The 13351-nt window shown below is 36.9% G+C and overlaps 1 long non-coding RNA gene across 1 annotated transcript in view, besides 1 other annotated feature; it reads left to right on the forward strand.

Moving 5' to 3' along the window:
• The first annotated feature begins 818 nt into the window (after positions 1-818).
• The window catches only part of LINC02899 (long intergenic non-protein coding RNA 2899), a 226918-nt gene continuing 214385 nt past the window's right edge, over positions 819-13351 (forward strand). The window contains exon 1 of the long non-coding RNA NR_131245.1: positions 819-1274. This is a non-coding gene — a long non-coding RNA (long intergenic non-protein coding RNA 2899). The remainder of the gene's footprint in view (positions 1275-13351) is intronic.
• Positions 1029-1528: an enhancer, noted in NCBI's record as "H3K27ac hESC enhancer chr5:23951667-23952166 (GRCh37/hg19 assembly coordinates)". NCBI's record gives its function as "activates a minimal SCP1, AML or CMV promoter by ChIP-STARR-seq in naive H9 embryonic stem cells {active_cell/tissue: H9 hESC(naive)}" and the evidence as "EXISTENCE:reporter gene assay evidence [ECO:0000049][PMID:30033119]".

The raw sequence follows: 13351 nt of genomic DNA on the forward strand, positions 1-13351 counted from the left end.
TGTGGAATTACAACCAAATGTATTAATCAACATAACTACATCACATGGGTAAAAAAAGAAGTTATATTGTACAATTTAAGATGTAAATACTCCTTTTTTTCTCTAATATATGAAGTTAAGTCTTACATAACTCTCAATGACTGAAGATAAATACAATTGTGTAATTAAAGAAATTTGCTAAGATAATTATCTCTCCAATTTATAAATGAAATATATTATTTAACTATTTAGATATAAATTATAAGTGATAAACGAGTGAGAAGAACTTTTAGAAGGGGTCAAAATTAATTAAGCAAGATTTTTTTTTTTTGCTAAATGCCCATCTCACAGGTTTTTAAAAAAATTTTTTTTTGCTAAATTATAACTAAGCAAGTTTCAATGTTTTTTAAGATGTATAGGTCATGAATATAATTTTACTAATGTCATATGTGGTGTGAGATAAAATATTTGAGGCATTTTTGAATTGCATCCAGATTCTACACTTTGTTTCATTAACATTTTCAAATAAATCTTAAAGTATTATAAATATTTAATATTTAAAAATTTTGGAACTCATCAAAGATATTGAGAGGTGACAACGTGCTGGCAGTCCTCACAGCCCTCGCTCGCTCTCGGCGCCTCCTCTGCCTGGGTTCTCACTTTGGCGGCACTTGAGGAGCCGTTCAGCCCACCGCTGCACTGTGGCAGCCCCTTTCTGGGCTGGCCAAGGCCGGAGCCGGCTCCCTCAGCTTGCAGGGAGGTGTGGAGGGAAAGGCGACAGCGGGAACCGGGGCTGCGCGCGGCGCTTCCGGCGCTGCGCGCGGCGCTTGCGGCCAGCTGGAGTTCCGGGTGGGCGTGGGCTTGGCGGGCCCTGCACTCGGAGCAGCCGGCTGGCCCCGCCGCGGCCGAGCAATGAGGAGTACACCCTCCGGGCCAGCGACTGTGGAGGGTGTACTGGGTACCCCAGCAGTGACAGCCCACCGGCGCTGCGTTCGATTTCTCGCTGGGCCTTAGCTGCCTTCCCTCAGGGCAGGGCTCGGGACCTGCAGCCCGCCATGCCTGAGCCTCCCACCCCCTCCGTTGGCTCCTGTGCTGCCCGAGCCTCCCGGATGAGCGCCGCCCCCTGCTCCAGGGCGCCCAGTCCCATCGACCACCCAAGGGCTGAGGAGTGCGGGCGCGCGGCGCGGGACTGGCAGGCAGCTCCACCTGCAGCCCCGGTGAGGGATCCACTGGGTGAAGCCAGCTGGGCTCCTGAGTCTGGTGAGGACATGGAGAACCTTTATGTCCAGCTCAAGGTTTGTAAATACACCAATCAGCACCTTGTATCTAGCTCAGGGTTTGTGAATGCACCAATCGACACTCTGTATCTAGCTACTCTGGTGGGGTCTTGGAGAACCTTAATGTCTAGCTCAGGGATTGTAAATACACCAATTGGCACTCTGTATCTAGCTCAAGGTGTGTAAACACACCAGTCTGCACCCTGTGTCTAGCTCAGAGTTTGTGAATGCACCAATGGACACTCTGTATCTAGCTAATCTAGTGGGGACGTGGAGAACCTTTGTGTCTAGCTCAGGGATTGTAAACGCACCAGTCAGCGCCCTGTCAAAACAGACCACTGGGCTCTACCAATCAGCAGGATGTGGGTGGGGCCAGATAAGAGAATAAAAGCAGGCTGCCTGAACCAGCAGTGGCAACCCGCTCGGGACCCCTTCCACACTGTGGAGGCTTTGTTCTTTCGCTCTTTGCAATAAATCTTGCTACTGCTCACTCTTTGGGTCCACACTGCTTTTATGAGTTGTAACACTCACCGCGAAGGTCTGCAGCTTCACTCCTGAGCTAGCGAGACCACGAACCCACCAGAAGGAAGAAACTGAACACATCCGAACATCAGAAGGAACAAACTCCAGACGCGCGCCACCTTAAGAGCTGTAACACTCACCGCGAGGGTCCGAGGCTTCATTCTTGAAGTCAGTGAGACCAAGAACCCACCAATTCTGGACACAATAGTATCTCATTGTGGTTTTGATTTTCATTTCTGTAATGATCTGTGATACTGAGCTTGATACAGGTTTTTTGACCACATATATGTTTTCTTTTGAAAAGTGATTGTTCATGGCTATTGCTCACTTTTTAATGGGGTTGTTTTTCCCCTGTAAATTTGTTTAAGTTCCTTATAGATGCTGGATATTAGATCTTTGTCAGATACATTGTTTGCAAATATTTTCTCCCATTTTGTAGGTTGTCAGTTTACTCTGTTGATAGTTTCTTTTGCTGTGCAGAAGCTCTTTAGTATAATTAGATCTCATTAATCAATTTTTACTTTTGTTGCTGTTGTTTTTGGTGTCTTTATTATGAAATACTTGTCAGTTTCTATGTCTATAATGGTATTGCCTTGTTGTCTTCCAGGGTTTTTATAGTTTTGAGTTTTGCATTTAAGTCTTCAATCTATCTTGAGTTGATTTAAATATATATGTATGTATGTGTATATATATATAATGAAAGAGAGGGGTCCAGTTTCCATTTTTTGCATATGGCTAGCCAGTTACCCATTTATTGAATAGTCCTTTCCCTATTGCTTATTTTTGTCATTTTTATCAAGGATGAGATGGTTGTAGGTGTGCAGACTTATTTCTGGGGTCTGTATTGTGTTCCATTGGTCTACGTGTCTGTTTTTATACCAGTACCACACTGTTTTGATTTCTGTAGCGCTATAGTGCAGTTTCAAGTTGGTTAGATATGCCTCTATCTTTGTCCTTTTTGCTTAGGATTGCCTTAGGCTTTGTTTATTTGTTTGTTTCTAATGAATTTTAAAAGAGTTTTCTTTTCTAGTTCTGTGAAGAATGACATTGGTAGTTTGACAGAAATAGCAAATCTGTAAATTTCTTTGGACAGTAAGGCCATTTTAATTATATCGATTCTCTCTATTCTCAAGCATAGCATGTTTTTCCACTTGTTTATGTCATCTCTGATTTTTCGAGCAGTGCTTTGTAATTCTCATTGTAGAGATCTTCCGCATCCCTGGTTAGCTGTATTCCTAGGTGTTTTATTTTTTTGTATCCATTATAAATTAGATGGCATTCCTGACTTGATTTTCAGCTTGGCTGTTGTTGATATATAGGAATGCCAGTAATTTCTTTTTTTTTTTCTTTTTTTTTTTTTTTGAGACGGAGTCTCGCTCTTTCGCCCAGGCTGGAGTGCAGTGGCGCAATCTCGGCTCACTGCAGGCTCTGCCCCCCGGGGTTCATGCCATTCTTCTGCCTCAGCCTCCCAAGTAGCTGGGACTACAGGCGCCCGCCACCTTGCCCGGCTAATTTTTTGTATTTTTAGTAGAGACGGGGTTTCACCGTGTTAGCCAGGATGGTCTCGATCTCCTGACCTCGTGATCTGCCCGCCTCGGCCTCCCAAAGTGCTGGGTTTACAGGCGTGAGCCACCGCGCCCGGCCGCCAGTAGTTTCTTATGTTGATTTTGTATCCTGAGATGTTGCCAAAATTGTTTATCAGCTGGAACTTTTGGCCTGAGACTATGGGGTTTTCTAAATACAGAAACATGCCGTCTGCAAACAGGGATAGTTTGACTTCCTCTCTTCCAATTTGAATGCCCTTTATTTCTTTCTCTTGCCTGATTGCCCTGGCCAGAACTTCCAATAGGAAGAGGAATGTTGAGGAAGGGCATGCTTGTCTTGTGCTGGTTTTCAAGGGAAATGCTTCTTGATTTTGCACATTCAGCATGATGTTGCCTGTGGGTTTGTCATTGATGGCCTTTTTTTTTTTTTCTTTTTTGGAGGTGTGTTCCTTCAATGCCTAGGCTATTGAAAGTTTTTAACATGAAGGGATGTTGAATTTTATCAAAAGTGTTTTCTGCATCTGTTAAGATAAATATGTAGTTTTTGCCTTTGGTTCTGTTTATGTGATGAATCACATTTATTGATTTGCAGATGTTAAACCAAACTTGCACCCAGGGAATAAAGTCTACTTGATCATTGTGGATTAGCTAGCTGTCTGATGTGCTTCTGAATTCAGTTTGCTAGTATTTTGTTGAGAATTTTTACATCAATGTTAATCCAAGATATTGGCCTGAAGTTTTCTTTCTTTTTTTTTTTTTTTTCGCTGTGTCTCTGCTAGGTTTTGGTACCAGAATGATGCTGACTTAATAGAATGAGTTGGGGAGAAGTCCTTCCTCCTCATTTATTTGGGAATAGTTTCAGCAGAAATGGTACTAGCTCTTCTCTGTACATCTGGCAGAATTTGGCTGTGACTCCATCTGGTCTTGGGCTTTTGTTAGTTGGTAGTCTATTTGTTACTGGTTCAATTTTGGAACCTGTTATTTGTCTTTTCAGGGAATCAGTGTCTTCCTGGTTCAGTCTTGGGAGGGTGTATGAATCCAGAAATGTATCCATCTCTTCTAAGTTTTCTAGTTTGTGTGCATAGAGGTGTTCCTAGTAGTCTCTGATTATTATTTGTATTTCTGTGGGGTCAGTGACAACATCCCATTTGTCATTTCTAAATTTGTTTCTTTAGATTTTCTCTCTTTTCTTCTTTATTAATCTGCCCAGCCACCTATCTACTTTACTATTTTTTTCAAAAAGTCAACTCCTTGATTTGTTGATCTTTTGAATTTTTTTTGTGTCTCGATCTTATTCAGTTTAGCTGATTTTTTAATGTCTGTCTTCTAGCTTTAGAGTTGGTTTGCTCTTGTTTCTCCAGTTCCTTTAGCTGTGATGTTAGGTTGTTAATTTGAGATCTTTCTAATTTTTTGATGTGGACATTTAGTGCTATAAATTTCTCTCAACACTGCCTTAAATCCCAGAGATTCTGGTAACTTGTGTATTTGTTCTCATTAGTTTCAAAGAATTTCTGTTTTATCCTTAATTTCATTATTTATCTAAAGCCATCCAGGAGCAGGTTACTTACTTTCCATGTGTTTGCATATATTTGGGCAATTTTTTAATTATTTATTTCTATTTTTATTGTTTGTGGTCCAAGAGTGTGTTTGGTGTAATTTTAGTTCTTTCACATTTTCTGAGGATTGTTTTATGACTATATGATTGATTGTAAAATATGTGCCTTGTGGTGATGAGAAGAATGTATATTCTGTTGTTTTTGGTGGGGAGTTCTTCAGAGGTCTATGAAATCTATTTTGTCCAATTTTGAGGTCATGTCCTGAGTATCTTCTGCCTCGATGATCTAAGTATCAGTGGAGTGTTGAAGTTTCCCCCTATTATTGTGTGGGAGCCTAATTCTCTTTGTAGGTGTCTAAGAACTTGCTTTATGAATCTGGATGTTCCTGTGGTAGTTGCATATGTATTTAGGGTAGTTAGGTCTTCTTTTCAAATTGAATCCTTTACCATTATGTAATGCCCTTCTTTTTCTTTTTCTTTTTCTTTTTTAATATTTGTTGCTTTAAAGTTTGTTTTGTCTGAAATTAGGATTGCAACCCCTGCTTTTTTTTACTGAATTCCATTTGCTCAGTAGATTTTCCTCCTTGTCTTTACTTTGAGCCTATGGGTGTCATTGCGTGTAAGGCTGGTCTCTTGAAGACCACATATCAACAAATCTTGCTTTTGTATCCAGCTTGTCACTCTGTGCTTTTTAAATGAGACATTTAGCCTATTTACATTCACAGTTAGTATTGATATGTGTGGATTTGATCCTGTCATTATGTTATCAGCTGGTTATTATGCCAACTTGTTTATGTGGTTGCTTTACAATGTCACTTGTCTATGTACTTAAGTGTGTTTTTTTATTGGCTGGTAATGGTCTTTCTTTTTCATATTTAGTGCTTGTTTCAAGATCTCTTATAAGGTGGGTCTGATGGTAACAAACTCTCTCAGCATTGGTTTATCTGAAAAAGATCTTATTTCTCCTACCCTTTGGATTCTTGCTTTGGCTGGTATGAAATTCTTGGTTGAAGACTTCTTTTTTTAAGAAGCTTGTAGAGTTTCTGCTGAGAGGTTCACTGTTAGTCTAATAGGGTTCCATTTGTAGGTTACCTGCCTTTTGTCTCTGGCTGCCTTTAATATTCTTTCATTTCGTCCTTGGAAAAATCTGACAATTATGTGTCTTGGAGATAATCTTCTTGTTGTAGAATCTTTCAGGGGTTCTCTGTAATTGCTGAATTTGCCTGTTGGCCTGTCTAGTGAGACTGAGGAAGTTTTTATGGATAATATCCTGAAATATGTTTTTTAAGTTGTTTGGAAAGTTTAATAAGGTATCTGAACATAAAATTAATATAAATTGCTGGTGTCTTTCTATACATAATTGAAAAATAAAATTAAATTGTTCATTTCTTAGAAGACACAAAACACAATTGTTAAAAATGTGGAGGAATTTGTCTATTTATATTAGAAAATATAATAAAAAGGTATCAATTTTCCTCAAGTTTATTTGTACAGTCAATGCCATTGATTTCAATAAGATTTCTACAGAATTTTTAAAATATCTATTAAGAGGATTTGAAATGCATTTGGTAGATTTTATGCCCAAATATCTATCTAATTACAAAATTAGAAAGAGAAAATAGTAGATTTTACATCCAAGAACAGGCAAAATACTGCTGCAGAAAAAACTAAATGTGGGATTTGCCCTAATACTTATTGAGATGTGAAGCTGTAGGTAATTCTTAGAAAACTGATAGGAAATACTATCGGTACAAGAACAGACAAGATAATAGTTCAGTGGAATAGAAGTGTATTAAATTTATTGGCTGGGAATATTTGCTGACACCTGTAATTCCAGCACTTTAGGAGGTTCAGGTGGGTAGATCACTTAACGTCAGGAGTTTGAGACCAGCCTAGCCAAAATGCAGAAACCCAATCTGTACTAAAAGATACAAAAATTAGCTGGGGGTGGTGGGATGCACCTGTCACTCCAGCTGCTGGGGAGGCTGAGGCAGGATAATCACTTGAACTCAAGAGGTGGAGGTTGCAGCAAGCCAAGATCATCCCACTGCACTCCAGTTTGGGTGACAGAGCAAGACTCTACCTCAAACCAATAAATAGATAAATAAATTTCTTATATCTTGCTGATACGACAAAAGTATCCCTATTACGAATACATAAAGACAATAAGAAAGTGCAATTAAAACCAATAGAAAGTGGGAAAAGTCAGGAATTTACTTTCTGTAGAAAGGAGTCACATAGAGGCAAGCATCATTGATAATGAAGACATTAAAATAAAGGTCATAAGATAAAATTTTATGACCATTTGATGGAGAAAATTAAAACATTTGAAAACATCAGATGTTGAAGTAAATGCTGAGGAATGTACAAGTATCCATTGATACAACCACACTGGCAAAGAGTTTATTACTGTATGATTTTATAAAGATGAGGAATTACATGCTCTATACCTTAAAATACTGCTTCCACTTCTTTATACAAGAACAATTCTTTCACGCATTAACTCAGAGATTTATACAAGTATATTCTTATCAGCTATCCACAGTAGCAGAAATTAAGAAACATAGAGGCCATCAAGAGGAGATTGTTACACTCAAATAATGTGATTTGCTACATTTATCCAAGTGAAAGAATTACAAAGCAAGTACTCTAATATAAATAAATATTTATGTACATAACATTAAGTATAATATTAACCCACTGGAAATAAAATCAGCATATAAACTCATATAAATATAACATAAAATATAATATATATACATATACCCTATAAACAAATACATAAAAATTATATAGACAAATTCCTGGACACATACACCCTCCTAAGACTGAACCAGGAACAAAATGAATCCCTGCATAGATCAATAACAAGTTCCTAAACAACTGAGGCAGTAATAAACACCTACCAACCAAAAAAAAAAAAAAAAAGCCCACAACCAGAGGGATTTATAGCTGAATTTTACCAGACGTACAAAGAGGAGTTGGTACCATTTCTTCTGAAACTATTTCAAACAATTGATAAGCAGAGATTCCTCCATAACTCGTTTTATGAGGCCAGCATCATTCTGATACCAAAACACAGCAGAGGTACAACAACAACAACAAATTTAGGCCAATATCTTTGACGAACATCGATGTGAAAAGCCTCAATAAAATACTGGCAAACTGAATGCAGCAGCACATCAAAAAGCTTATCCACCATGATCAAGTTGGCTTCATCCCCAGGATGCAAGGCTGGTTCAACATAGGCAAATCAATAAACATAATCTATTACATAAACAGAAACCACATTATTATCTCAACAGGTTCACAAAAGGCCTTTGATAACATTCAACAACCTTCAAGTTTAAAAGTCTCAATAAACTAGGTATTGATAGAAGATATTTCAAAAAAATAAGAGCCATTTATGACAAAGCCACAGCCAATATCATACTGAATGAGCAAAAGCTGGAAGAATTCCTCTTGAAAACCATCACTAGACAAGAATGCCCTCTCTCACTACTCCTTTTCAACATAGTATTGGAATTTCTGGCCAGGCCAATCAGGTAAGAGAAATAAAATGTATTCAGATAGGAATATAGGAAGACAAACCGTCTCTGTTTGCAGATGACACTATCCTGTATCTAGAAAATCCCTTCATCTCAGCCCAAAAGCTTAAGCTGATAAGCAAATTCAGCAGTCTCAGAATACAAAATCAATGCCAGAAATCACAAGCATTCTTATACATCAACAACAGACAAGTGGAGAGCCAAATCATAAATGAACTTCCAATAACAATTACTACAAAGAAAATAAAATACCTAGGAATACAGCTAACAAGAAAAGTGAAGGACCTCTTCAAGGAGAACCACAAAGCATTGCTCAAGAAAATCAAAGCAGGCACAAACAAATGGAAAAACATTTCATATTCATGGATAGAAAGAATCAATATCATGAAAATGGCCATATTGCCCAAAGTAATTTATAAATTCAATGCTATTACCATTAAACTACCAGTGATGTTCTTCAGAGAATTAGAAAAAAACAACTGCTTTAAAATTAATATGGAATAAAAAAACAGCCTGTGTAGCCAAGACAATCTTAAGCAAAAAGCACAAAGCTGGAGGCATCATGCTACCTGAAATCAAACTATACTACAAGGTTACAGTAACCATAAGAACATGATACTGGTACAAAAACAGACATATAGACCAAAGGAACAATACAGAACTGAGAAGTAAGACTGCACATCTACAACCATCTGATCTTTGACAAACCTGACAAAAACAAGCTGTATTATTCCATTTTAACACTGCTGATAAAGACATATATGAGACTAGGTAATTCCTAAAGAAAAAGAGGTTTAATGGACTCACAGTTCCACGTGGCTGGGGAGCCCTCACGATCATGGTGGAAGATGAAAGGCAAGTCTTGCATGGCAGCAGACAAGAGGAATCAAAGAGAACCAAGTGAAAGGGTTTTTCCCTTATGAAACCATCAGATCTCGTCGGATTTATTCACTACCACAAGAACATTATAGGGCATACCACCTCCATTATTCAATTATCTTCCACCGGTACCTCCCACAACATGTGGTAATTATGGGAACTACAATTCAAGATGAGATTGGTGGGGAGTCCCCACAGCCAAACCATATCACAATCAATGGGGAAAGGATTACCTATTTAATAAATGGTGCTGGGAGAACTGTCTAGCCATATGCAGAAAATTGAAACTGGACCCCTTCCTTACACTTTATACAAAAATTAACTCAAGATGAATTAAAGACTTAAATATAAAACCCCAAACTATAAAAACCCTAGAAGAAAAATCTAGGCAATACCATTATGGACATAGGCATGTGCAAAATTTCATGATGAAAACATTAAAAGCAATTGTGGCAAAAGCAAAAGTTGACATATAGAATATAATTAAACTAAAGAGCTTCTGCACAGCCAAAGAAACTATCATCAAAACAAACAGACAACCTATAGAATGGGATAAAAATTTTGCCATGTATCCATCTGACAAAGATCTAATATCCAGAATCTACAAGATACTTAAACAAATTTACAAGGAATAAAATGAATAACTCCATTAAAAAGTGGGCAAAGGACATGAGCAAACACTTCTCAACAGAAAACTTGCATGAGGCCAGCAAACATATGAAAAAATAACACATTAAAGAAATGCAAATCAAACAACAATGAGATACCATCTCATGCCAGACAGAATGTGATTTTTAAATAGTCAAGAAACAATAGATGCTGGTGAAGTTGTGGAGAAATAGCAACATTTTTACACTCTTGGTGGGAATGCAAATTAGTTTAACCATTGTGGAAGACAGTGTGTTGATTCCTCAGAGACCTAGAACCAGAAATACCATTTGACCTAGCAATCCCATTACTGAGCATATACCCAAAGAAATATATCATTTTATATAAAGATACATACATGCATATGTTCACTGCAACACTATTCACAATAGTAAAGACATGGAATCAACCCAAATGCCCATCAATGATAGATCGGATAAAGAAAATGTGGTACATATACACCATGGAATACTATGCAGCCATATAAATAAATGAGAGCATGTCCTTTACAGGGATATGGATGGATCCAGAAGCCATTATCCTCAGTAAACTAACTCAGGAACAACAAACCAAACACCAAGAGTTCTCACTTACAAGTGGGAGCTGAACAATGAGAACACATGGACACATGGAGGATAACAACACACACTGGGGCCTGTCATGGGAGACTGGGAGGTGGGTGAGCATCAGGAAAAATAGCTAATGCGTGCTGGGCTTAATACCTAGGTGATGGGGTGATAGGTGCAGCAAACCACCATGGCACATGCCTACCTATGTAACAAACCTGCACATCCTGCACTTGTATCTCTGAACTTAAAATAAAAAAATAAAAAGACTGAACCAAAATTTAGGGTAGCATTTACCTCAACCAAAGAAAATCTTTAATATAAAATGAGGTAGAATATAAAAACAAATATAACTTCATACGTATGTTCATATTTTCATGCCATAATGGTAGTTTGGGAGGGATGTTTAGTTCAATATTAATGAGTCTATGATATAAAATAAAGTATAAACATACATAGATAATGTATGAAAGAATAAAGTTTTAGAATCCCTGGCCTTTGAACTAGTAATATTTTTTATATTTTAAAAGTTTTATAAAAAACAAGAAATGTATGGCTAGGGTATATGTGACCCACAATACATAGATTATTTTATCTTTTACAAAAATACAAAAAAAAAACTTTGCCAAACTCTTTTCTCAACATGAAGATAACTTACTCACTGGAAATTACTTTTACATTTTTCTTCATCCTTTCATAGATATTTTAGGTATTTGCAAAAATACATGTATATTTATTCACTTTTAATAATAATGTGTTGGATATTATAGTTGTATTCTGAACAGTACTTTTTAACAACAATATATTTTGCAATATTTCAAATCATTGTATATGAAAGTGACTAATTCTTTATAATAATTTTTTGTATTTCAATACATAAATACAATATGATTTTTTAACATTGTTCTTTCTTAAAGGACATTTAGATTGATTTCCATGTTTCGGTGTTTTAAAACAATGCTCTTTAACTATCTCTCACAGGTGAGATATTGTAAATACAAACACTTCTGGTACAAGGGTTATGTGCATGTCTAAATTAGACACATATTAGCACACTGCATTTTTAGAGGCTATACAAATTTGCACTTCACTGGCAATGAAAAATAATGACTATTTACACTATTTTATGACTAGTGTACTCGTTTTCAGTAATCATCTCCAATCTGTTTGGCAAAGATAAAAATTCCTTGTTTTTTTTTTTAATTGACAATCCTCAATGAAAATAGTTTAGATTGGTGCTGTTTGTAAAAAGCAGTTCTTCTGGTTTGGATTTGTTTTCATCATCTACTTCTATAGGAATGTGTCTGATTTAACTTTGTTTCTACCTTTTAAGGTAAGATTTGGTAAATTATGTACTTTTAGAAAACAGATTTCATTGAGGTGATCTACTTCGTTTCTATAGCATTATCAAACTAATATGTCATGGCCAAGTGTGGTGGCTCATGCCTGCAATCCAAGAACTTTGGAAGGATTCTTGAGCCCACGAGTTCAACACCAACCTTGGCATCATAGCAATACACAGTTTCTACAGAAAAATAAGCTGTCATGGTGACCTGTGCCTGGAGTACCAGCTGAGGTGGGAGGATTGCTTGAGCCCTGGAGGTCGAGGATGCAGTGAGCCATAGTCATGACACTGCAGACCAGCCTGGGCAACGTAGTGGTGCCCTGTCCAAAATAATAGTAATAATAATAACAATAATGTATCACAACCTTTTAAATTTCCTCCTTATTTTGTTTTGTAATCAATTATTACACATTAGCAATATGAATTTTTCTCAATATGTAAATTTTAATCTATTTTTAATAATCATTATTTGGATTCTTATTCTAATTTCTAATTTATTAACTTATTATTTTTATTTTTATTAGTTATGCTGTTTTGTTTTCCTTAGTATTATTGTGTTTTTCTAAAGAATTTAATTGATTGCATGAATCATGTAATTTTCTTCCCAGTTTATTCAGTTAATATTTAATAGTGTAACTTTTGCTTTCTTTTGCTAACTTTTGCTGTTTTTTAACCCATTTATATATTTTTACGTGCATAATTTATTTTTATGTTCTCACTTATGATGGAGTAACTGGCATCTGAATGACCCTCTTGGGAAAATAATTTATAAAATTAGAGAAATTATATTTGAAAACATATTTCAGGGATTATACATCAGTTATCTACCTGTGGTCTCTGTGAGAAGGGAAAAATCACAAGATCAACTCCATATTTTCTCTGGCTCTTAGCCTAGGGACTCTTCCTCAACCATATGCAGCAAGCTGATTCCAATAAGAGCATGATAGACCTGCTGAAGTAAGGAGACAAAAAAACTTGTGACAACTGAAGCAGCTAGAATGCACAGAATGCAGTGTTGAAGGTGAAAAGATATGGACAGGAGGCAATCTAGGGGCCCCTGCAACTCTGCAGCTTAGGACCAAACTGAACATGCATGCACAAAGCGAGATTATCCAAGAAATACCAGAGAATGGCAACTCTGTAGTTGGAAACCGAACAGAAACGCTACAGGTTGGGCAGTATAGGGTTAGACTAGTGCCTAAAAGTATGGGACATGAAAATTTTGGCTTGCCATAAGATCTCCTTAATATCCATTGCTGACTTTGCAAATAAATTTGCTTTGAGTAAAACAGTGCCATATAAGTAAAATATGCTCTAGATATTAAGCAAAATGTTTTTAAGTGATCTCGGTTTCAAAGAATAAATCAAAATTAGTCTGTTCTCACACTGCTAATAAAGGCATATCCCAAACTCGGTAATTTATAAAGGAAAGAGATTTAATGGACTCACAGTTTCACATTGCTAGAGAGGCCTCACAATTATGGCAGA

This window comes from Homo sapiens, chromosome 5, assembly GCF_000001405.40.
Source record: "Homo sapiens chromosome 5, GRCh38.p14 Primary Assembly".
NCBI lineage: Eukaryota > Metazoa > Chordata > Mammalia > Primates > Hominidae > Homo > Homo sapiens.